The sequence below is a fragment of the Homo sapiens genome, chromosome 5, assembly GCF_000001405.40.
Source record: "Homo sapiens chromosome 5, GRCh38.p14 Primary Assembly".
In the NCBI taxonomy this organism is placed as follows: domain Eukaryota; kingdom Metazoa; phylum Chordata; class Mammalia; order Primates; family Hominidae; genus Homo; species Homo sapiens.
In genome coordinates this window covers 110,644,463-110,671,434 of record NC_000005.10, presented here as the reverse complement: position 1 = coordinate 110,671,434, position 26,972 = coordinate 110,644,463, and the positions used below count along the sequence as shown (strand labels likewise).

At 34.1% G+C, this 26,972-nt stretch overlaps 1 protein-coding gene across 23 annotated transcripts in view; it reads left to right on the top strand.

Moving 5' to 3' along the window:
• TMEM232 (transmembrane protein 232) overlaps window positions 1-26,972 on the top strand; it is a 351,524-nt gene that overhangs the window by 67,520 nt on the left and 257,032 nt on the right. For 17 of the 23 annotated variants that reach the window (XR_001742182.2, XR_001742181.2, XR_007058620.1 and 14 more), the window contains one exon: window positions 4,071-4,207. The exons of 3 other annotated variants lie outside the window; for them this stretch is intronic. Coding sequence is in view for 15 of the 20 variants with exons in the window: in XM_011543565.4 (XP_011541867.1) it covers window positions 4,083-4,207 (125 nt within the window). In the remaining 5 variants the exon portion in view is untranslated. Of the gene's footprint in view, window positions 1-2,810; window positions 3,741-4,070; window positions 4,208-26,972 lie in introns of those variants that run through there. 3 more of the 23 variants (XM_011543553.3, XM_047417495.1, XM_011543560.3) reach the window with 3 other exon arrangements.

The following is a 26,972-nucleotide window of genomic DNA, read 5'->3' as shown; positions in this document are numbered from 1 at the left end:
TTATAGTAGAATGATTTATAATCCTTTGGTTATATACCCAGTAATGGGATTGCTGGGTCAAATGGTATTTCTGATTCTAGATCCTTGAGGAATCGCCACACTGTCTTCCACAATGGTTGACCTAATTTACACTCCCACCAACGGGTAAAAGCATTTCTATTTCTACACATCCTCTCCAGCATCTGTTGTTTCCAGACTTTTTAATGATCACCATTCTAACTGGTGTGAGATTGTATCTCATTGTGGCTTTGGTTTGCATTTCTCTAATGACCAGTGATGATGAGCTTTTTATCATATGTTTGTTGGCCTCATATATGTCTTCTTTTGAGAAGTGTCTGTTCATAGCTTTTGGTGTTTTAGTCATGAAGTCTTTCATCGGTTTGCTTTTATAGCCTCATGAGTTTCTTTTGGTCTTCTTTTGAAGATGTTTTCTTTTCCTAGTTTAGCTAAACATCTTACCTTCATATTTTTTTTATAATTCACAATAAGCACTTGTCAAATTTGCAACATTTATTACTAGATTTACCAAATTATCTCCTTTGCACATTCCTACTTATTGAGTATTGTTCTTTTAGGCTACATGTGCTTAGCTGTACCTTATGATGCATTTTTATTGGTAATATGAGTTTGTTATTTTCCTGAGTGCATTTTAAGGTAGAAATGCCCAGTGATGTTGTTAGCTGTTAAAGAAAAATAAATGCCTGAAAATATTAATTCTGCTTGGGAATAGCATTTGTTTTACATTAAAGTTAGACCCAGTCTGGATGGCACTCCTCTATATAGCTCAGCACAGCTGCTGACTGAAAAAAAAATCCCATTTGCTTTACATTCTGATGCATGTGGATTATTAGAAGCATTGAATCTATAAATTACGTTGGACAATATGGCCATTTTCACGATATTGATTCTTCCTATCCATGAGCATGGAATGTTCTTCCATTTGTTTGTGTCCTCTTTTATTTTGTTGAGCAGTGGTTTGTAGTTCTCATTGAAGAGGTCCTTCACATCCCTTGTAAGTTGGATTTCTAGGTATTTTATTCTCCTTCAAGCAATTGTGAATGGGAGTTCACTCATGATTTGGCTCTCTGTTTGTCTGTTATTGGTGTATAAGAATGCTTGTGATTTTTGCACATTGATTTTGTATCCTGAGACTTTGCTGAAGTTACTTATCAGCTTAAGGAGATTTTGGGCTGAGACAATGGGGTTTTCTAAATATACAATCATGTCATCTGCAAACAGGGACAATTTGACTTCCTCTTTTCCTAATTGAATACCCTTTATTTCTTTCTCCTGTCTAATTGCCCTGGCCAGAACTTCCAACACTATATTGAATAAGAGTGGTGAGAGAGGGCATCCCTGTCTTGTGCCAGTTTTCAAAGGGAATGCTTCCAGTTTTTGCCCATTCAGTATGATTTTGGCTGTGGGTTTGTCATAGATAGCTCTTATTATTTTGAGATATGTCCCATCAATACCTAATTTATTGAGAGTTTTTAGCATGAAGGGTTGTTGAATTTTGTCAAAGGCCTTTTCTGCATCTATTGAGATAATCATGTGGTTTTTGTCTTTGGTTCTGTTTATATGCTGGATTATGTTTATTGATTTGCGTATATTGAACCAGCCTTGCATCCCAGTGATGAAGCCCACTTGATCATGGTGGATAAGCTTTTTGATGTGCTGCTGGATTCAGTTTGCCAGTACTTTATTGAGGATTTCTGCATTGATGTTCATCAGGGATCTTGGTCTCAAATTGTCTTTTTTGGTTGTGTCTCTGCCAGGCTTTGGTATCAGGATGATGCTGGCCTCATAAAATGAGTTAGGGAGGATTCCCTCTTTTTCTATTGATTTGAATAGTTTCAGAAGGAATGGTACTAGTTCCGCCTTGTACCTCTGGTAGAATTTGGCTGTGAATCCATCTGGTCCTTGACTTTTTTTTGGTTGGTGAGCTATTAATTATTGCCTCAATTTCAGAGCCTGTTATTGGTCTATTCAGGGATTCAGCTTCTTCCTGGTTTAGTCTTGGGAGGGTGTATGTGTCCAGGAATTTATCTATTTCTTCTAGATTTTCTAGTTTATTTGCATAGAGGTGTTTATAGTATTCTCTGATGGTAGTTTGTATTTCTGTGGGATTGGTGGTGATATCCCCTTTATCATTTTTTATTGCATCTATTTGATTCTTCTCTCTTTTCTTCTTTATTAGTCTTGCTAGTGGCATATCAATTTTGTTGATCTTTTCTAAAAACCAGCTCCTGGATTCATTGATTTTTTTGAAGTGTTTTTTGTGTCTCTATCTCCTTCAGTTCTGCTCTGCTCTTAGTTATTTCTTGCCTTCTGCTAGCTTTTGAATGTGTTTGCTCTTGCTTCTCTAGTTCTTTTAATTGTGATGTTAGGGTTTCAATTGTAGATCTTTCCTGCTTTCTCTTGTGGGCATTTAGTGCTATAAATTTCCCTCTGCACACTGCTTTAAATGTGTCCCAGAGATTCTGGTATGTTGTGTCTTTGTTCTCATTGGTTTTAAAGAACATCTTTATTTCTGCCTTCATTTCGTTATGTACCCAGTAATCATTAAGGAGCAGGTTGTTCAGTTTCCAGGCAGTTGAGCGGTTCTGAGTGAGTTTCTTAATCCTGAGTTCTAGTTTGATTACACTGTGGTCTGCGAGACAGTTTGTTATAATTTCTGTTCTTTTACACTTGCTGAGAAGTGCTTTACTTCCAACTATGTGGTCAATTTTGGAATAAGTGCGATGTGGTGCTGAGAAGAATGTATATTCTGTTGATTTGGGGTGGAGAGTTCTGTAGATGTCTATTAGGTCTGCTTGGTGCAGAGCTGAGTTCAATTCCTGGAGAGCTTGCTATACATCAATAGCAATAGACAATGACATTTTGTGTCTGTGATCCATATTTTGCTGGATATTTTCCCATTGCCACTCAGATCTGCTTTCCATTCTTCTTCACTTTGCCCCTGTACTTTCTGGCTTCTAGTTTGGTTTGGCAAATGAGTAGCACAGGCGGATGACTGGAATGGAGCACGCAAGGAGAGTGAGATTGGAGTTTCTATCCTCCAGGCTCCCTCTTAGAGGGCAACCTCAGATTAGCTGCATTTCTCACTTAAAGGCCAAAGCTTTTTATTAAGCACAACTCTTTAATAGCTGTTCTGTCTTGGTCTATCTTCCTCTTTAGCCCTAAGAGTGATAACAGTTTATTTTGTTCTTTCTAGTCTCTGAGAATACAACCATCTTGTTTTGTAGTTCTGCCCATGTATTTGGGAAGAATTCTTTCATTCAGGTACCATATTTGAGTGTGCCCTGCATTTCCTGCCAAAACTTTGACTAATCTAATGATCAATTTTTAAATTTAGCTATTTAAAAAAATGAAAGACAAATAATGCAGTGTAGATATGACTACCCATTTCATTACTTCATTTTGCTGACTAAATCTCCACTAAACACAAATAGGATGTCTTAGTTTTGGTCATACACTCATAGAATATACTCAGATATGAATCAAAAGGAAAAACATTCTGGGCGTAAAAACAAGCAGAGAAAGCACTATCTAAATGACGAAAAGACAGGAGACATGAAAAGGAATTTACAAGAAACTTTAAAGAACAGACAACAGTGATATGATCACAAGTGATTACATAAAGTTTCCTATATACTAGGCTCATTCTAAGCAATTTACATATATTGAACTATTTATTTCTCACAGGAACTCTATGAGGAAATACCATTCTCATTTTACAGGTGAGGAAGCTGAGGCACAGAGCACTTAGTCTGGTTGTATGGCCTATCCTCTTAGCTACCATGCCATGCTGCTGTTTCAATGGTTTTGCTGATAAAACTGCTAAAGCATAATAAAGACTGGATATATATACTTATAATAGTAACTTTTTGTACTTATTTCCATATCCTTATGGTTTACTTATTTATTTAAATTCTTCCTTAATATAGAATTATTCTTAAGCCTAACTTTAGTTCTTGCTATTCTTTTCCAAAAATAATGAATTTGCATAACATGTTGTTTGATACTATGAGTGCATTTGTATGCTAACATACATTTAATATTCCTTTTAGAATTTATGATTTATGAATATGCCTGTTAACAAATCACCTATGATTAATACATGTGGAGGCATATCTTCCCCTTATCATGAAGAGCTCTGGAAATTAAATTTTCAACATTTAAGTGGAGAAAGGGGTCATAAATCAAGGTAAGCTAGAAAATAATTATAGGACCCATATGTATTGTAGAGAATTTAGAAAATATAGAAAACTGAAAAAAAAAATTCACCCATAGTTCTCTAACCAAAGATTAAAATTTTAAAGTTTACTATTTGTTTAATAGCCTTGTTTATTGTAATTATGTGCTTTCTAAAATTTTGAATTCTACACGTTTTGTTTGAAATAATTATCTATACTCATATGTTTTCTTAATTTGTCATAATAATGCATAGATTGCATGAGAAAATATTTGATAACTCCTGTATCATGAAGCATTTTATTTAGTTCTAAGACCTTTGCTATTTCAAATTTAGCCAAAATAGAATGTTTTTCTATTTTGAAATATTTCAGATTATTTCCTTGGGATAAAGTTTCTACAATGAGTGCAAGAGCAATTGAAAAGAACTTTCACAAAGACTTTACAGTCACAAATAATATACTTTTTCTAGTTGTTTTCTGTGCTATCCTTGTCCCAATACCATAGTGATCCATATTGTAAAAAAAAGTAGCAGGAGAAGTTGTTATCCACCTAGAATCCTACAGAGAAGAAAATAAAATTCAAAATATATCATTAAAAAACTGAATGGTTTTGCTATTATTCATATAAACATAATATGCTGAAGAAATAAGTAAACCTAGTCAGTGCATCTAAATGGTCAAGGATGCTACAAATAAAAAGCAACAGGACCTAAATATACAAACCATGACTAGATAATCCTGTTACTAATAGGATGTAGGTAAACAGAGGAAAAATAATTTGTATAAAAATGTTCAGAGTAGTTTTAATTGCATTTAAAAATTGAAAATAGCAAATGCTTTATAATAGAATGACCAAGTCAATTAAATGTATCTGAATAGTAGAATACAATAGAAATGTTTAAAAGAAAAAAATTGAAACAAATTATGTATACAGTGATTAAATTGATGATATCAAATGTGTATTGTGGATATGACAATTCATCAAGAATGGAGTATAATCTTTTTCAGCCTACCAGATAGTAATAGATACTGTGCTAAAAAGGAGCAGGTCAGATTCTGCATTTAAACAAATTTCAAAAGCCCTGGATTTAACAAAGTGCAATTGTTTTCTTTGCTCCAAAAGTTCTCAGCTTTTTTATTTGTTAATTAATTTATTTTTAGAGACAGGGTCATCCAGGCTGGAGTGCAGTGGCGTGATTATAGCTTATTATAACCTTGCTATAACCTATAGCTTACTATAATCCTGGGCTCAAATGATCCTCCTGTCTCAGCCTCCTGAGCAGCTGGCACCACGGGCACATGCCAGTATGCCTGGCTAATTTTTAGTTTTTTTTTTTTTTTTTTTTTGTGGAGATGGGGTCATGCTTTGTTGCCCAGGCTGGTCTTGAACTCCTGGCCTCAAGTGATCGGCACTCCTTTTCGTCCCAAAAAGTTGGAATTACAGGCATGAGCCACTGTGCCTGGCTCAGTTTTAAAATATGCTCATGTATAGTATAAGTCTGCATTAGTGGGGACTGATACAGGTTGGCTATATGTCCCCATTCAAATATCATCTTGAATTATAATCCCCATGTGTCAAATGAGGGACCTGGTGGGAGGTGATTGGATAACCGGGATGGATTTCCCCTTGCTGTTCTCATGATAGTGAGTGAGTCCTTATGCAGTCTGGTTGTTTGATAGGTGTCTGGTGCTTCCCCCTTCTCACTCTCTCCTGCCACCATGTTAAGAGGTGCCTTGCTTCCCCTTCCCCTTCTGCCATGATTGTAAATTTCCTGTGGCCTCCCCAGCCATGCGGAACTGTGAGTCAATTAAACTTCTTTTGTATGTAAATTACCCAGTCTCAAGTCGTATCTTTATAGCAGTGTGAGAACGGACTAATACAGAGACAGAGTTGGCCTTGCCACCACTACCTATACAGCCCGCTTCATCAGAATGAACTCATGGAACACGTTTTAAAATATTAATTTCTGTTCAATGTCCATAATTTTTATTAGGAAAAATAACTTGCTAGATCAAAATGTGTTGTTACTAGATCAAAATTTCTTGATAATTTAAAAATTGTGTGTGATTTTTAAATTTTAAGAAATTGCTGAAAACTTAGAAAAATATAATGGTATACATACAATAGAATTTAAGATGTTGGCTTATTGTTATGGGCTGAATGTGAGTGTCCCTGCAAAATTCATATGTTGAAGTCCCAACCTCAATGTGTATTATGGCCACTACAATTCACAAAGAGTAGAGTATAATCTCATAGCAAACCAGATAGTAACATATATTATGCTAAAAAGGAGGGGGTTAGGTTCTTCGTTTAAACAAATTTGAAAAGCCCTGGAGTTAACAAAGTGAAATTGTAACCCAATGTGATGGTATTAGGAAGTGTGGCCTTTGGGAGGTAATTGGGCATAGATGAGGTCACGTTGGTGGAGCTCTCATTATGAGATTAGTGTCCTTACAAGAAGTGGAAGAGCTACCAGCACTTAGTCTCTCCTCTGTGTGAGGATGCAGCAAGAAGGCAGCTGTCTGCAAGCCAAGAGCACAGCCCTCACCAAAACCAGCCCATGCTGGCACCCTATCTTGGATTTCCCAGCTTCTGGAACTAGGAGAAATAAAATGTTTAAGTCACCCAGTTTACACTGTTTTGTTATAGAAGCCTCAGTAGCCTGTGACACATATTGTTACGTTTGTTTCCAATACTTTTCTTGAATAAAGAATACTTCAAGAGATACAGTTTCAGCTGTTTAACCATATGTGCTTTCAACTATAGTAATTGTGGCAGATATCATTCCAGTTCATTTTTCTACTTTAATATACGTGAATATGAAATTGTATTTTTCACATTTGTTAATGTAATTCTACCTAATACATTTATCTGTGGCTTGCTTTTTAAAAAATCAATGCTACATTTTAACTTTAATCCATATTGGTAATTATGTATATTCTTCATTTTAATGGCTGAAAAATTCTAATATAATGAATTTTCCTTATTTATTATTTTCCAAATTTTTGACAATAAAATCAATGCCATAGTGAAAATCATTGCATATTTCTCCTTGTGTATCTGTGCAGGTGTGTCCTTTTTTTATATTTTTATTTTTACAGACAGGGTCTTTCTCTATCTCCCAGGCTGGAGTGCAGTGGCACAATCGTAGCTCACTGCAGCCTCGAATTCCTGGGCTCAAGAGAGCCTCCTGCTTCAGCCTCTGGAGTAGCTAGAATCACAGGCACATGTCACCATACACGGATAAATAAAAAATTTTTTTTGTAGTGATGGAATTTGCTTTGTTGCTGAGGCTGGTTTCAAATTCTCGACCTCAAATGGTCTTCTCACCTGACCCTCCAAAAATTCTGGGGTTATAGATGTGAGCCATTGTGCCCAGCTAAGTATAATTTATGATTTATTATTTTTAAAAATTTGCTTGATGCTTTCTATGGGTCTCCAAAAGTATCTGAATATTGTATATACACACACACACACACACACACACACACATACACACACACACACATTTCCTTCCCCAGTCTATAAGAGTATGAGAGTATCACTTCCTCTTATCTTCACCAACACCTAACAGATCAATTTGGGGAGACTTAACATCTTTATCATAATCATCATAATCATATGATAGTTTAGAAACATGGTATATCGCTCCATTTATTTAGTTATTTATAAAATTTTCTTAATACAGTTTTAGTGTTTTTTTTCATATGGGTATTGTCTTAGATTTATTAATTTTTGCCAGTATAATAGATCAAAAGTGACACTTATAATGAATTTTTTAAGATTCCCTAATAACTATGCTACTAAATATCTTTTTATGTTTGTTGCTGTTAGAATTACTTCCATGTGTTTTCTTATTCTTATTAATATGTTGGTATTATTAAATATTTATTATAAATTCTCCCAAGGTATGCCTTATCCTTTAACTTTGTTTTTGTTGTGCCTTTAATTATATGGAAGTCTTAAAAATTGTTATAGTTACTATGTTTTTAAGATTCATTAATGTTGAGTGTAGCTATATCATTTTTATTGCTTGTTTTTCATTTCACTGTTGCATTTTATTAACTTACTGCAAATTATCCATTAATTCTGTTAATTTTGGACATTTCAATTATTTTCAATTTATGGTTATTATGAACGTTTCATACATTGCTGTATGGGCATCATGGCATACATCTTAATGTACAAACTTATGAGTGGAATTGCTGGGTCAGAGGATATGTATATAAAATTTAGTGACTAGAACTTATTAATTTTTATAAAGTCAGATATATCAATCTTTTATGATTAGCCTTTTTTTTGTATTTTGGTTAAAAAAATCTTTCCCAACCACAAGATCGTGTAGATAGTCTTGTATATTATTTTCTAAAAACCTTATTGTTTTATCTTTCATGTCTATAATCTATGTGGAAATTTTTGTAAATAATATTAAGCACAAGTCTGATTTTCTTTTTAAAATGTGCATACTCAATTCATCAATACGACATATGGAAAAAATCCTTTCTCTACTATTTCTGTAGTACAGTTATTGTATAACTCATGCATTCACATGTAATTGATATGCTTATCTGCTCTATAGTCTGCTTCACTGGCCCATTTGTCTAATTCCACACCAACGCCACACTGCCTTAATTACTATGGTTTGGTAATAGCATGTAATAGTCAAGATGATAGATTTTTCCAAACTTGTTTTTCTCAGTGGTATCTTGCATATTAATTTTGAAACCAGCTTGTCATAATTTATGTTTTTGAAAAATTAAAGGGAGTTTTTAATTGGATTTTGAAGAATCTATAGATCAATTTGGAGAAACAACATCTTTATCATAACCATATTCTAATTTATAAACATGGTATATCTCTTCATTTATTTAGTTATTTATGAAATTTTCTCAATACAGTTTTACTGCTTTTTTCATATAGGTATTGTCCAGCATTCTCATAGCAGTATTGTTCACAGAGGCATTGTTAGATTTATTTCTATGTATTTAGTATTTTTCATGCCATTTATAAATTATATGCATATATAGATTTCTAAAATTTGTATTTTCTAACTTTTACCAGAAAAGAGAAGTTAATTTTTATATATTGATTTTACATACACAAATATTGCTAAATTTTCTTATTAATTCTGAATATCTTTGTCTCAATATTGACTTAAAAGGAATATTCTAAACATTTGACTGACAAGGGACTATTAACCAGAATATATGAAGAACTCAAACACCCTAATAACAAAATCCCAAATTATCTAATTGAAATATGGGCAAAAGATCTAAATAGACATTTCTCAAAAAAAGACATACAAATGGCCAACAGATATATGAAAAAATTCTCAACATCACTAATCATCAGATAAATGTAAATTAAACCCACAATGAGACATTATCTCACCCCAACTAAACTGGCGTTTATTAGAAAGACAGTAATGGATGCTGGTGAGGATGTGGAGAAAGAGGAATGCTCCTACACTGTTGGTGGGAATGTAAATTAGCATAGCCATTATGGAAAACAGTTTGGAGTTTCCTCAGAAAGCCAAAAATAGAATTGTCATATCATCCCATAATCCCACTGCTGGATATGTGCCCAAAAGAAGGGAAATTGGCAGATTAAAGAGCTATCTGGGCTAGGCATGGTGGAGTGCTGGGCACCTGTTATCCCAGCATTTTGGGAGGCCCAGTTGAGTGGATTGCTTGAGCCCAGGAGTTTGAGACCAGCCTGGGTAACATGGCAAAACCCGCCTCTACAAAAATTACAAAAATCACCCAGGCATGGTGGTGTACACCTGTAGTCCCAGCTACCCAGGAAGATGAGGTGGGGGGGGTTACTTGAGACCTAGAGGTAGAGATTGCCGTGAGCAAAGATTGCACCACTGCACTTCAGCCTGGGCCACAGAGCAAGACCCTACCTCAAGAGAAGAAACAATAAAAGAGATATCTGTCCTCTCATGTTACTTGTAGCATTATTCACAATAGCCAAGATATGGAATCAATCTAAGTGTCCATGCATGATAAATGAATAAAGAAAATGTGATATATATACACAATGGAATATTATTAAACCATAAAAGAATCAAATTCTGTCACTTGTAACAACATTGGTGGAACTGGAAGACATTATGTTAAGTAAAATAATTCAGGCACAGAAAGACAAATACCGCTATTGTCACTCACATGTGTGTGCTAAAATAAATTGATCTCATAAAGGTAGAGAGTAGAATGATGGTTACCAGAAGCTGGGAAGGGTGAAGAAGTGGGGAAGAAGAGAGGTTGGTTAATGGGGACAACATACAGTTAAACAGAAGGAATAAGTTCTAGTGTTTAAGAGCATAATAGGGTGACTAAACTTAACAACAATTTATTGTATATTTCAAAATTACTGAAAGAGTGGTATTGCAATGTTCCTAACACAAATAAATGATAAATGCTTGAGGTGATTGATGGATATTATAATTACCCTGATTTGATCATTAAACATTATATGTTTGTATCAAAATATCACATGTATCCCATAAATATGTACAACTATCTATGTATCCACAATCATGAAAAATAAAAAATAATAAAGCAAAAGGTAAATCTAAGCATGCTTGTTTTTTAAAAAGTATAATATTTTTTGTCAAACTATCTGGTATTCTACCTTACGTGTTTTATAATTTATCCCCACTAAACTTTATTACCATTTTAAGTAATCAGTGTTTCTTTTTATTTTATTTCCTGTTTGCCATTTTCATTGCTTTTTAACTCTTCTTTCTTCTTAGGCCTCCTTTCTGGACTTGTTTATCATTTGCCTGCTGTAAGATTTTTTGAATTTTCCTTACTGAGATTTTTGTTGTTGACAAAAATACCAGGTTTTGTTTGTCTGAATATATTTTTTATTCTTATTCTAGAAAAATGTTTAAAACTGAACATAAATTATCTTTGAGCAATTATTACTTTTATTCTTTTTTCCTCTAGAATATTGTTGGTATCATTTCACTCTCTTACAGTTTTCATTATTGCTGTTGAGAAGTTAGCTGAAATTGTAATGTCATTTATTTAAGATTATTTTGGCTTCCTTCTCCCAAACCTGGTAATTTTAAGTTTCTTATTGTCTTCTGTTTTCTTCAGTTTTGCTATGATGTGTCAGAATATAATTTTAAAAATTATCTTACTTAGATTTGATGGAACTTTTTGAATCTATGGATGTATCTTTCTTTTATCATTCCTGAAAAATTATTGGGTATTATTTATACATATATTGCATTGACAACCCCTTTTTTTCTTTTCTCTCCTTCTGAGACTATTGAATAAATGTGTATGAGATCATCTCATTAAATCTGTTACATCTTTTACTCTTTATTCTCCATTTTCCAAATTTTTGTCACTTTCTACTGTATTTTGAACATTTTATTCTGATCTGTGATTTGTCTTTGATGTGACTAATTTTCCCATTCTCAAATGTATCCATTGAATTAACAAATTATATCTTACATTCTATTAATTTATTTAGTTTTCTTCAAATCTGTTATGTAGACTTAACGTTTCTGGTTCCCTGCAGATCTTTTTAAGCATGTGGTGGGATGAGCATGATAATTTTATAATATGTGTCTGATTATTTCAGTGACTGGAGTCTTAGTAGGTTTGTTGTTTCTGCTTGTTCTCATTTCTGCCATATTTTCCCTTGTATCTTGTCATTACTCATTTTCCTTTGGATGGAAAATATTTCTGCATGTTTTTTGAGAAGTAGGAGAAATGCATCCTCCTCCAGTGAATCTTTGCATTAGCTTCTCTCCCAGGCACCTGTAAGTGTACCAGCCTGGGACAACTGAAACTAAATTCACTGCCTGAGTTTTCTTGGCCAACAATCTATGTTTGTCTAGGGTATAAATCTGGGTTGGGACCAATCTTCTCAGTAATAGTTCTTTTTTCTTTTCCATTCTCATTCTTTTTCTGCTGGACACCAAGGTAGCCTTCTATGTGGCTTCCTGAGGTTAGGAAGAGGGGATCTTGCAAGACATTACATACTTTATACCGATAATCCTAAAGGAAACTACACTACAATTATTATGATTATTAATTTATCCACTGACACCTACTTTGGTCACTCAGACTTGACTCCTTTCCTAACACCTGTATCTCTACTTGAACTAGCTGATTTACAGAGTTCTCTGGCAAAAGACGCATATTATGGGAAGAAAATAAGCATGTTGAGGGTTCTATTCCATTTCCTTTTTTGAGGTATTGTTGCCCTTACATTTCAGGTGAGCTCTTCCCCAAGAAGGGTTGTCCTTGCTTTCATCAAACCTTTCTTTGTGGCTTCAGTGGAAGATTAACCCATTGTCAAAAAGAAATTTATATGCATGGTTTTAAGATGAATCTGTCAGACTAATTTACTTTTCTTTTCATTGGCTAATGATGAAGATAAACTTTGAAGGTCTTTTTTTAAGCCAAAGAATGCAGGCAATTTGTCCATCTTTGGTAGTTAAATACATCAATTTGGGTATTGTTGCCTATGCCTACCAATTAACCCTCTTTGGGATTAATAATTACATTTCACAAGAGATGACATTACAGTTTAGAAGCTTAGTTGTTTCTAAGTGGGCTTCTTACAGACAACCTTGAAAAGATCATGACTGTTACCAAATGTAGTATAGAATGTTTCTAAGTATAACAGCAATCATTTAGAAAAGGAAGTAGGTTTTTATTCTTGAAAATATTTTCAGCCTTCAATTTTCTTCTAAATGGCTCTCTGCTCAAAATTCAGTGGGTGTCAACAGTCCCCTCTCCCCTAATCTGTTTAGGGTTTTCTTTATTCATAACTACCAAGAAGGAGGGCTTGCATTTTCAAAGCTTAAGACGGTATTCCATTTGCTAAGACTGAAACAGAAACGTAAAATCTAAAGAAACACAAAGGCAATAAAAGAACATATAAAACCGTAGATATTTTTAGAAATGAAATGAGGACTGTATTTCTGGTTTCATATCATAAAGCCTTTGGATATCTATAATGTGATGATGCTGTAATCAATCACACGGGTATCAGGATGACAGAGGATATTTCCAGTGTCTGACTTCAAAAGCCCAGACCCCAAATCAGTGAGTCAGAAATGACAAATTCAAGGGAGGTATTCATAGAATGAATTTCTGCAGGTGTTCATATCACCTGCTCTTTATTTATTCCCTTCAGATTGTTAAATCTGTCCCTGAATTCCTCAAACATTCAAACGTAATATACACACCAAAAGGAGCAGACCTTTCTTTCATTCTGCTGGTACTTCTGATACTTAGGAGAAGCCATATTAATTGTTATTTGAAATTTCTATCTCAATTTCATTTTTTTCCTTTTCATAGTACCAAACTTATCAAAAGAGTAGTCAATATTTAATATTTTTGTTTCTCTATATATTGATTAGCACCCTAAAATCTGGGTTCTGTTTTTCTCTAATGAAACTGCTGTTTTAAAGATCTCCACCACTTTAAACATGTATTATTTCTTCGTGGTGACAACATTCAAAATCTCTTCTTCTGGCTATCTTGAAATATTCAATACATTGTTATTTACTATAGTCACCCTACTGTGTAATAGAACACGAAAACAAATTCTTCTTAACTGTAACTTTGTACCCATTGACCAACCTCTCCCAGTTCCCTCCAACCTCAACCCTCCCCAGCCTCTGGTAACAACAATTCTACCCTCTAATTCTATGAAATAAGCTTTTTAAGATTCCACATATGAGTGAGATCATGTGGTGTTTATCCTTCTGTGCTTTAACATAGTGTTATCCAGGTTCATTCATGTTACTGCAAATGACAGGATTTCATTCTGTTTTATGGCTTTATAGTATTCTACTACACACACACACACACACACACACTCAGATAGATATCCATTCATCATTAGATGCACATATAGGTTGATTCTGTATCTTGGCTACTGTGAATAGTGCTACAATAAACATGGATGTGCAGATGTCTCTTTCACATACTGATTATATTTTCTTTGGATATATATCCAGTAATGGGATTGCTGGATTATATGGCAGTTCTATTTTTAGTTTTTTGAGGAACCTCCATAGTGTTATTCATTATGGCTGTACTAACGTACATTCCTACCAACAATGTATGAGTTTTCTTTTCTTCTATTTGTTACTTTTGATAATAGCCATTCTAGCTGGGATGAGGTGGCTTTCAATGTTGTGACCACAAAGAAATGATAAATATTGAAAGTGATGGATATGGCACTTACCCCAATTTTATCATTAAGTTATGAACACATGCATTGAAACATCACATTTTATCCCATAAATACGTACAATTATTATGTTTTGGTTATAAATAAAAAATTGAATTAAAAATATCTCCACTGACTTTTAAAATATTAACTCTAATGATTTTCTTTCTTTTTTTTCTTTTTTTTTTTTAGAGATGGAGTCTTGCTCTGTTGCCCAGGCTGGAGTGCAGTGGTGCAGTGTCGGCTCACTGCAAGCTCCGCCTCCTGGGTTCATGCCATTCTCCTGCCTCAGCCTCCTGAGTAGCTGGGACTACCGGTGCCCTGCCACCACGCCCAGCTAATTTTTGTATTTTTAGTAGAGACGGGGTTTCACTTGTTAGCCAGGATGGTCTCGATCTCCTGACCTCGTGATCCTCCCGCCTCAGCCTCCCAAAGTGCTGGGATTATAGGCGTGAGCCACTGTGCCTGGCCTGACTTTCTTTTTGTATTTAGTCTTGATATTTCTGTGGATGTACATTTTCTATCATTGTCTTTATCTTTAATGTATTCTTTGATATCTCAGTCTAGGATGCTTGTTTGTATGAAACAGGCACACGTTCAAACTAACTCAAACAAAAAAAAATTAACATAAGGATATAAGGCTGTGTTGTGGAACTTGAGAGCAGAAGCTATAGCTAGGCCTTTTTCCGTCTTTCAGTACTCAACACACGTGGAGATAAAATGGCCAGCTTGGCAGATATAGTCTGCATGTACACTATGATCAACTTGAAAAGGATAAAAACTGTAGATTTACATCAGTAAATCATTTGGCAAACGTTGATTGGGGGCTACAATGGTGAACATGCAGCTTTCTGAAATTGAAGGTGCTTTGTTATTTGTTGTCTTGAAAAAGTTGTCAGCAACAGCCATAGGTTTTGGCTGTACATAACCTTTCAGTTCTAACCTCAGCCAATTAAAGTATTGTTTTTTTTTTATTATACTTTAAGTTTTAGGGTACATGTGCACAATGTGCAGGTTAGTTCATATGTATACATGTGCCATGCTGGTGTGCTGCACCCACTAACTCGTCATTTAGCATTAGGTATATCTCCTAATGCTATCCCTCCCCCCTCCCCCCACCCCACAACAGTCCCCAGAGTGTGATGTTCCCCTTCCTGTGTCCATGTGTTCTCATTGTTCCATTCCCATCTATGAGTGAGAACATGCAGTGTTTGGTTTTTTGTCCTTGCGATAGTTTACTGAGAATGATCATTTCCAATTTCATCCATGTCCCTACAGAGGACATGAACTCATCACTTTTTATGGCTGCATAGTATTCCATGGTGTATATGTGCCACATTTTCTTAATCCAATCTATCATTGTTGGACATTTGGGTTGGTTCCAAGTCTTTGCTATTGTGAATAGTGCCGCAATAAACATACGTGTGCATGTGTCTTTATAACAGCATGATTTATGGTCCTTTGGGTATATACCCAGTAATGGGATGGCTGGGTCAAATGGTATTTCTAGTTCTAGATCCCTGAGGAATCGCCACACTGACTTCCACAATGGTTGAACTAGTTTACAGTCCCACCAACAGTGTAAAAGTGTTCCTATTTCTCCACATCCTCTCCAGCACCTGTTGTTTCCTGACTTTTTAATGATAGCCATTCTAACTGGTGTGAGATGGTATCTCATTGTGGTTTTGATTTGCATTTCTCTGATGGCCAGTGATGATGAGCATTTTTTCATGTGTCTTTTGGCTGCATAAATGTCTTCTTTTGAGAAGTGTCTGTTCATATCCTTTGCCCACTTTTTGATGGGGTTGTTTGTTTTTTTTCTTGTAAATTTGTTTCAGTTCATTGTAGATTCTGGATAATAGCCCTTTGTCAGATGAGTAGGTTGCAAAAATTTTCTCCCATTTTGTAGGTTGCCTGTTCACTCTGATGGTAGTTTCTTTTGCTGTGCAGAAGCTCTTTAGTTTAATTAGATCCCATTTGTCAATTTTGGCTTTTGTTACCATTGCTTTTGGTGTTTTAGACATGAAGTCCTTGCCCATGCCTATGTCCTGAATCATAATGCCTAGGTTTTCTTCTAGGGATTTTATGGTTTTTAGGTGAGTGAACTCCCATTCACAATTTCTTCAAAGAGAATAAAATACTTAGGAATCCAACTTACAAGGGACGTGAAGGGCCTCTTCAAGGAGAACTACAAACCGCTGCTCAATGAAATGAAAGAGGACACAAACAAATGGAAGAACATTCCATGCTCATGGGTAGGAAGAATCAATATCGTGAAAATGGCCATACTGCCCAAGGTAATTTATAGATTCAATGCCATCCCCATCTAGCTACCAATGACTTTCTTCACAGAATTGGAAAAAACTACTTTAAAGTTCATATGGAACCAAAAAAGAGCCCACATCACCAAGTCAATCCTAAGCCAAAAGAACAAAGCTGGAGGCATCACGCTACCTGACTTCAAACTATACTACAAGGCTACAGTAACCAAAACAGCATGGTACTGATACCAAAACAGATATAGATCAATGGAATAGAACAGAGCCCTCAGAAATAGCACCACATATCTACAACTATCTGATCTTTGACAAACCTGAGAAAAACAAGCAATGGGGAAAGGATTCCCTATTTAATAAATGGTGCTGGGAAAACTGGCTAGCCATATGTAGAAAGCTGAAACTGGATCCCTTCCTTACACCTTATATAAAAATTAATTCAAGATGGATTAAAGACTTAAACATTAGACCTAAAGTATCATTTTATTTAAAATCCTTAGAAAGAGACCTGAATTGGCCCAGCTGGCATCAGATGTGTACTGTGACAAAATCAGCAATGGCCAGGGGGCATGAAGTCATATGGACTAATACAGAACTTAGGCCCCAGTGCAGCAGGGACTGTTAATAACGAACACTTTTCAGAGAAGGAATTTGCACCCCATATTATATATACGTCTCAATTCCATTGTAGTACTTTCCTGAATCTCCTCTCATATTTACTGTTTCTTCTTTCCCTCTTGTTTCCTAACTCTGGGCTTCATCAAACAAAAACTTTCCTTTGATTAATTATTTTTTTCTTAGTATTCTTCCTCTTGAAATTTTAAGGCTTTGATCATCACTGATATGTCGGTGAATCTGAAATCTTTATTTCTGGATCTTATCCATTTCCTCATGCTTGACTTACAAGTCCTTTTGGATTATAAACCTTTCCACTTGGATGTCTCATAGGTAAATCATCCTCTCTATGCCCAGAATGGCACAGATCATCTGCTCAGATTCCTCCCGTCCAATTATCTTGATGTCATCTTTCTACTTCCAGTCATGTGGGCCAAAAACATTGAGTTTATCTGTATGCTTGACATCATGATTTCTTTTCTCATATCCCATTATTCATCATGCCCTATTGATTTAGATAGATCAATTTTAACTTGATTTAGCTTGACCTCCACCTAATCTCTAAATTCTGGGTGATCATGTGCCCAGGAAAAAGCAGAGAAAGAACTTTGAAAGGACAACTGCTATTCTGTCCTTTCGAGTTCCTGCCAAGGCTTCAAGGATCACATGCTATTTCCACAAAGAAGCTTTTTCTGAATCTCACCAAAAAGAGTAATGCTTATAACTAACAGTTTTACAGCACTGAATATATGCCAGGAACTAGGCTGTGTGGCTTGATTTGATGCTTTCCAAAATTCTGCAAGATTTTTTCACTGTTTCTACAGATGGAAAATTATAGCTCCCACAGATTAAGTGATTCAGCAAAGATTATAGGACATGGAAGTGTTGGAATCATGATCTCTGCTTCTAAACTCCCACAGAATTTTATTTCTTTTTTAAGGAACATCTCCTTATGTTTCATCACTGTGAAGTGTCTCACTTCCCTCCCAGAATGGGAACTTCCTGAGGCCAGGCCTGATTTATCTTCTAGCGCTCATGGTATCTAGCAAAATATTTTGTATGTAGGAGGCTTTCATTAAATAGTTATTGAACAAATGAATTGTCAGCTTAAAAAGTTCACAGATATTCACATTATCACAGAATTCACAGATAATGTAAATACAGTCAGTTTGGATGGCATGCCTATTTAACCAGGAGACTTCAGTATAAATATTTTATAAATAAAATTAGAATGATCTTTATTTACTGTGTGTTCCACAGGACTGCTCTTACATATTTAGACTAGATTATCTTTGTGAAATCCTTTGATATTTCAGAGAAATTGGAATGCGTGAAGCCTAAGTCTGTTTTTTGAAATGCCTGTATTTACTTTTTAGAAGTTTCCTTTTGCTTCTTACCATGTGTTATATATGTCACTAAATAAGTTTTAATTTTTACAATAATGTCTATTGTGATGGGCAGGAATTGGTTAAAATAGCTATGTTTATCTCTCACTAAATATTTATTAACATGATCTGTAGGAGACCAATTAAAGGACTCAGGATTTACATAGAAAGTTAAAAATAATTAGCTTTCCATGTTTTCAATGATGTATTACAAGCCATAATCCATATTGAAAAATGTTGGACAAAACTAAAATTATTATACAATGTAGTTTGAACATAGAAATTGAATTAGATATTATTTTCATCCTAAGCCTGTTATCTTGCTTTAGAAATAAAATGACATAACTATGTTTTCCCTAGAGCCTATGAAAAAGCTGAGACAAACTAATTTCAGAAAATGTAATTTTAATTTGTATTTGAAACCCTGGATAGTGTGTGTGTGTGTGTGTGTGTGTGTGCGCGCGCGTGCACTTTTGTGTGCTTGGGGGTTGTCTGTGGTTGGTAATGGGGAAATCAAATTGAATTGAATTTACTATTATTTTAAAAGAAGAATGAATTGCACATTATTATACTATAAATCATTCTTAGGGATCTTAGAAAAACAGCTAAATGCAAAGACTTTGAGTCAGACAGTTCATTTCACATTTGGCTCAGTTTACTTTCAAGATATAACCTTGAGTGTGATACTTAACCTCTGTCAGCCTCCTATTTCTTCTTGTAAAACAAAGTACATTTTATACATTTCAAGCAGTATATATAAAGCAAACACCAGATGTTTGTTAAGCAAATTCTATGTACAACAGTAAAAATAAACTTAAGCACCTAAAGTTACATCAGGGAATATAAGGCGGGTACATTAATATTACATTATAGGGCAGATTTTTATAGGCTTTAGAGGTAGACTTGAGGTGAGTTTCTGGCCCTTTGTAATTATGCGACCTGAAGCACAGTTTCTTCATGTCCACTGCCTCCATCCCTTGCCCCACCCCATAACCAAGTCAACATGCTCTAATTCCTGTCATTTTGCCACACATTCCTGCTGGTGCCCCTGTTTCTGCTCTCACCCCCTTGTTCTCTGAACAGCAGTCTCAGTAATGTTTTAAGAATGTTAACAAAATTGTGTCATGCTCTAATTTTAACCCTGTAATATCTTTCCATTACATCCAGAGTAAAATACAGACTCTACCCCATGGTTTAAATACCCTGAGAGAACTAGTCCCCAGCCCGCTCCTTGATCTCTTAACCTCTTTCCTTTATGTTCTTTCCCTCCCTCCCTCCTTCCCTCTTTCCCTTTCCCTTTCCCTTTTCCTCCCCTTCCCTTCCTTCCTTCCCCCACTCTTCTTTTTCTAAGTCTTTTGTTTTCTTTGTCTCTTGCTTTCTGTCTCTTTCTCATTTCAACTCAAATGTCTCTCCCTCATGATGTTCCCTGACTGCCTTGTGCAAAGTCTCACCTTTCCCGATAGTCTCTTCCACATCACTCTAGTTAAATTTTCACAGCATGGATCACTTTCAGAAAACACCATGTTGATATATGGTGTTCTTGTTTATTGGATGTATATTCTCTCCCAAAAGAGTATAAGACCCATGAGACAAGTGACTGCCTATCAGGTTTTGATTCACTTCCGTTTTGTGTCCTCTTGCCTAGCAGAGTGCTTGACTCATAGCAGATATTTAATTAATATAGAATGAATCAATAAATTAGAAAATGACTGGTAAGCTGTATCTTGAAGTGATTTTTTATCACCTCCCATTTTTTATTTGTCAACATTTATTTTTGTAAAATACATTTATTGTTTAGAACAGTTTTAGAAATGTAAGAAGATAGTACAGAGAGTTTCCCTATACCCTGCACTCAGTTTCTCCTATTGCTAACATCCTACATTAGTATGATACATTTGTCGCAATATTGAACCATGTTAATACATGACTATTAAGGGCCATATTTTATTCATATTTTTCTAATTTTTACCTAATTTCCTTTTTTCTGTTCCAGGATCCCATACAGGACACTACATTACATTTAGTTATAATGTCTCCTTTGGCTCTTCTAGGCTGGGACAGTTTCTCAGACTTTGTTTTTAATGACCATGACAATTTTGAAGAGTACTAGTCAGGCATTTTGTAGAATGTTCTCCTGTTGGAATTTTTCTGATGTTTTTCTCATGATTATACTGGGTTTACCAGTTTCTGTGAGAGAGACCTGAGGTTAAGCACCATTCTCATCACATCACATCAGGGGTACATACAATCAAAACAATTTATCACTGCTGATGTTGATTTTGATCACCTGGCTGGAGCAGTGTTCCTTGTTTTTTTACTGAGAGTGACTATTTTTCCTCCTCCCTTTGGCTTACTGTACTCTTTGGAAGGAGGTCACTGTAAGCAGTTCATTTGTATCAATTTCTACTTCTCAACATTTTGAAATTCTGAATATGTTAAAAATAGAAGTATAAAAATTTATTAGAAGAAAATTTAGATTTCTGTTTGTATACTATTGGAGAGAGGGAAATCATCTAAGTGAGAAATCCCAGACATTATAAAGGAAAATAAAATCATATATAAATATAAAATTTTAATTTATGACTAAAGTTATCATAACAATGAACAAAGATAAATATTATACTGAGATAGAAATACCTACAACATACATTTGCAAAATTTTCATGATAGTAGTACCAGTTACCATTAATTAAATATTTAGCATGTACCAGGCACTCCTCTAAGTACAGTACATGCATTATTTCATTTAACTTTCAAAGCAACTCATGAAATATTTCTATTTATTTTTCCATTTTACAGGCAAAGAAATTAAGGCATAATAAACTACTGAAGTTTAAAAATATGTTAAAGGACAAAGTCAGATTCAAACCACAGGAAGTCTGGCTCCTGGGATGGTGCACATAACCACTATAACTATATTGCCATACATTGATTTTTTAATAAAAAGACAAAAAAGCTTAATAAGTAAAAAGTGAACAAATATATAAAAATGCATGCCACAGAATAGGCATTATAAAAATGAATGTAAGGCCCTTCATACTCGAAAAGATTCTCAGGAATGCTAGTAGTTAGGGAAACACAAACTTTAAACCATAAGGAAATACCTGCATCAATCAAATGCAATTATCAAAACAACTGATATCATTCTGGTGAGGATGTGGGAAAATGAGAGTTGTTGTGCTTTACTAGTATATGCTTTACTAGAATATGAACGACTAGAATATTTTTGGAAGATATTTTTTTAATCTGCTATAATTAAAAGTATACATACTCTTGTAATTAAAAGTATAAACACTTGTATATTTTTTGTTGTGAAATGCTAACACATACAGAAGACTATATGAACATAAATATAATGATTAATGAATTATTATAAATCAAATACTTGTGTATTCACCAGGTGAAGACATAAAATCATTTTCAGAAAACTTTTGTGTAACCCTTTTAAATAAAGAAATCCTAGTGCTGTCTTCATCAACATATAAACCAATTAAAAAAATCCTTCTTTCCTTAACTGTTTTTACTCTCCCAAATTTTCTTTTTCTTTACAGTTTTATGCTTTATATAAATGTAATATTGTAGTGTATATTCTATATGTTTGTAAGATCGTCTATATTGTTTGTATAGTTGCAGTTTGTTTAATTTTTCATTCCCTTGACATTGAATACTTACCTTTGGGTCTTCAAGCTCAACTAGACAGACTAATATGATTATTATAGGCCACACTAACCGCTGACCTCACTTAGCAGGATACAGCACAGGGAACAGCATGCCAGCACACCAGCAACTGTTTACCTTCTGAAAGAGTTCTCAACAGAACAGAAATGGGAGCTAGTCTTCTGTAGCTACTCCAAATGACTGTGCATGTAAGAATGTGAGACTTAGAGAGCTGAGTGTAATAGATAGATAACCTTAAAATCCTGTGTCCCAAAGTGGAATCAATGACTTAAAAAGTCCTGCAAAGAACATGCGTTTAGGAGAGCCCAAAGATTCTCCTAATAAGGTATTTATAGTTTATTCACAGTCTAGGTATAATGTGTCAATCAGGAGTTTTGTTTGTTTGTTTGTTTGTTTGTTTTACCATAAGCGGTGGTCCCAGTAACACAGCTGACATCCACTTTTGCTATTTTTTTAGGGGAATGGAATTAGAAAATAACCCAAGCTCAAATTTATGCATTATAAAAAGAAAGAACATTTTGCTTCACCCTTTATTCACAAACATACCATACTTTTTGGTTCACAAGATAGAATGTTGTTTGATTCCATATTTTATCCCTTATGAAAAACGTTGCTGTGACCATTCTTATACATGTTCCCTGGTACATAGGACATATTTCTATTGGATATATATAAAGTTGTGATATTGCTAAGTCAGTGTGTATGTCTGTCTTGAATCTTGATAGAAAACATCCAACTGTTTTCCAGTTGGTGGTTTTACCAATTTACACAACCACACGCAGTTTGTGAGAATTTCTATTACTCCATATTCTCTTCAATTTCTGGTATTGGCATTCTTTTAAGTGTTAACCCTTCTGGTGAATGTGAAGTAGCATCTAATTTTGGTTTTAATTTGAATTTCCCTATTATCTTGATGATTATTTCCATATTTATTGGCCACTTGGATTTCTTCCTTTGTGACTTCCCTTTTTAAGGCTTTTCTCCATGTTTCTATTTATTGGGAGTTCTTTGTATCTTCTGTATATGAGTCCTTTATCAACTACATGTTGAAAATATGTTCTACCACTTAAAATTTTGCCTTTTCATTCTCTTATACTTTCTAATTCATTTTTTGGAAGACACAGTCTTATAGTAATAAAATAATGATATGTATAAATGTATTTATAAGCAGAGGTGGTAACCAAAATATTTAACTATAGATATAGTGTGGGGGCTGATAAACCAGAATAGTATGCACCTGTTGAATGTTAGATCAGTGTATAAGGCTGTTTTTATGATGATGATTACTATTACTGCATTGGTTAGCACAACCAACATTTTATAGGAAGTAATGTGAAATGTCAATCAATAAAGGAATTATTGGATTTGTTGAAGTACATCTATATTCTGCATATTAAGATCAATTGAACTTTAGGAGCTGACTGCTATAATCTGGAAGGATGAAAATCCCAAAAATATAATTCTGGGAAATATTTTAAAAATTCTTTAAGTGATATTTATTTACATTTTTAAAAGGAGATTTATTTGTGAAACACATAAAAACACGACAAAAAACTTCATATTTTTACACAATAAAATAAGCAATAATAACATACGTATTTTTGCAAACATAAAGAGGTATATTAATGGACATTGCGTAGGTATAACAGTTGTGAGTGATAAACCATATTCATAAAAATTGGACAAAAGGAAATGTGTAAGTGCATATTACTATGGTTGGTAATTGTGTCCACCCAAATTTATAACTGTGGTCATCTGACATTCTTTGATGAACACTGTAAGTCTTGACAAGATTGGCACAAACTATGATGGGTCAATACCACATGCGCAGTCACCTAAAAGAACCAAGATCTCAATAAATTTTATTTTTCACAAATGCAGCTGTACAAAAGGACATCTCTTCATTTACTGAGAAAGTTTCAAGTTTTTTTGTACACATACAATGCTTGCACACAAAGTCAGTGTGGTGATAGTGCACTTTCGTGTAGGCAAATTTGCAAAAAATGCATAAAATGAATTATAACTCTCTGGAAGTCTCTATACAACTTATACTTCCAGTATACCATAGTAATATATTTTTTTAAATTCTGATAATTTAAAATAGTTGAAAAAAGAAGAAGAAGAAGAAAAAAAAACAAAACCTTTTCACATGCCTGTTGGCCATCTGTATGTGGTCTTTTGAGAAATATCGATTCAGGTCCTCTGTACATTTTTTAATCAGGTCATTTCTTTTTGGCTATTGATTTATTTTAGTTTCTTAAATATTTTGGATATTAGCACCTTCTCAGATACATGGTTTGCAAGTATTTTCTATCAATTCGTAGATTGCCTGTTCACTCTGTTGATTGTTTTTATACTGTGCACAAGATTTTTAGTTTGATGCAATCCCACTTGTCTAGTTTTGCTTTTGGGTTCATAGTGGAGAAATTATTGCGAAGACCAATATCAAGAAGTATATTCCCTATGCATTCTTTTAGTAGTTTTACAGTTTCAGGCCTTACATTTAAGTCTTTAAATCATTTTGAACTGATTTTTGAACATGGTGTGGGATAAGGGTCTAATTACGTTCTTCTGCATGTAGATATTCAGAGACTGTCCTTTCTGCATTGTGTATTCTTTCAACCCATGTCAAAGATCAGTTGACTGTAGATATATGGATTTATTTCTGGATTTTTGATTCTCCTCCATTGGCTTTTAGGTCTTTTTTTATGCCGGTACCATGCTGGTTTAATTACTGTGGCTTTGTAATATTTTGAAGTCAGGAAATGTGATTCCTCCATTTTTGTTCATCTTGCACAAGATTGTTTTGGCTATTCAAGGTCTTTGTAGTTCCATATGAATGTTATTATTATTTCTGTAAAGAATGCTATTGGGATTTGATAGCAATTGAATTGAGTCTTAGATCTCTTTGGGTAATATGGACATTTTAACAATGCTGAGTTTTCCAATCCATGAACACAGGATGTCTTTCTATGTCTTCTTTGTTTTTTACAGGTCTTTTTTTCTGTGTTTTCTGTAAATTCCTTTATAAATGTTTTATAATTTTCAGTGTACAGGTCTTTCACCTCTTTGATAAATTTACTCCTTAGTATTTTATTATTTTTGTTGCTATTATAAATAGGATTGTTTTCTCCATTTCCTATTTTGGATAGTTCATTGTTTATATATAGAAATGTTACTGATTATTGTATGTTCCCTTTTTATCCTGTAACTTTATTGAATTCATTTATTAGTTCTAAGAGATTTTTGTGGATTATCTAGGAATGTCTACATATATGTCATTTGCAAGAAGTGATAATTTTCTTCTTTTCCAATTTGGATGCCTTTTATTTATTTATTCTTACTTACTTGCTCTGGCTAAGACTTGCAGTACTGTGATGAAAGAAGTGGTAGAAATGGGCATCCTTGTCTTGTATAGTGTCTTAGAGGCAAAGTTTTCTGTTTTCTTTCATTAATTATGATATTGGCTGTGGTTTTTGATATGATGGTCTTTATTCTGTAAAGTAAATTGACGTAAATTCTTTTTACACCTATTTTCTTGAGAATTTTAATCATGAATGGAAGTTAAACTTTGGCAAATGTTTTTTTCTCTGTTGAGTTGACCTTTTTTTTTTTTTTGGTAATATGGTATATTACACTGATTTATTTTTGTATGTTGAACCATCCTTGTACTCCATGGATAAATCTCACTTGGTCATGGTGTATAATTGTTTTAATGTGTTATTATATTTGCTTTGCTAGTATTTTATTTATGATTTTTGCATTGACGTTCACTAGGGACTTTGGCCTATAGTTTTCTTTACTCCTAGTGTCTTTGTACAGTTTGAGTATCAAGTTGATGCTGGCCTCATAAAATGAGTTTGGAAGTGTTCCTTCTTGTATTTTTTGCAAGAGTTTAACAGAGTTGGTAGTAATTCATCTTTGAATGTTTGCTTGAATTCAACCATGAAACCACCTGGTCCTGGGCTTTTCTTTGTTGGGAGGTTTTTCATTACTAATCTAATCTTTTTTTTTATTGGTGTGTTTAGGCTTTCTATTTCATCTTGATTCAGTTTTGGTAGCTTGTAAATTTCTAGGAATTTATTCATTTCTTCTAGATTATCCAATTTGTTGGTATATAATTGGTCATAATAGTTTCTTATGTTTCTGAGGCATCTGTTATAATGTTTTCACTTTCATTTCTGATTTTATTTATTTGACTTCTTTTTTCTTGATTATTCTAGCTAATGGTTTTTCAATTTTGTTTATTTTTTCAAGAAAACAGCTCTTAGTTTTGATGATTTTTAGTTTTTTATTCTTTAATTTATTTCTACTTCTTATATTTATTATTTCCTTCTTTCTGCAAACTTTAGGATTATTCTTTTTATAGTTCCTTGAGGTATAAAGTTAAGCTGTTTTTTTCCAGATATTTCTTCATGTAATGTGAGTATTTATTATTATAAGCTTTTCTGTTATTACTGCTTTTGCTGCATCCCAGAAGTTTTGGTAAAGTGTGTATATAGGTTGGTTGGTTTGTGAGCACTGAGAAAGGTATGTAAAGATACACAATAAGTCATTAATCTTGGCTGTTAATCTTGACAGTTCGAATTGGAAGCAGTAATGTTGGGAAGCA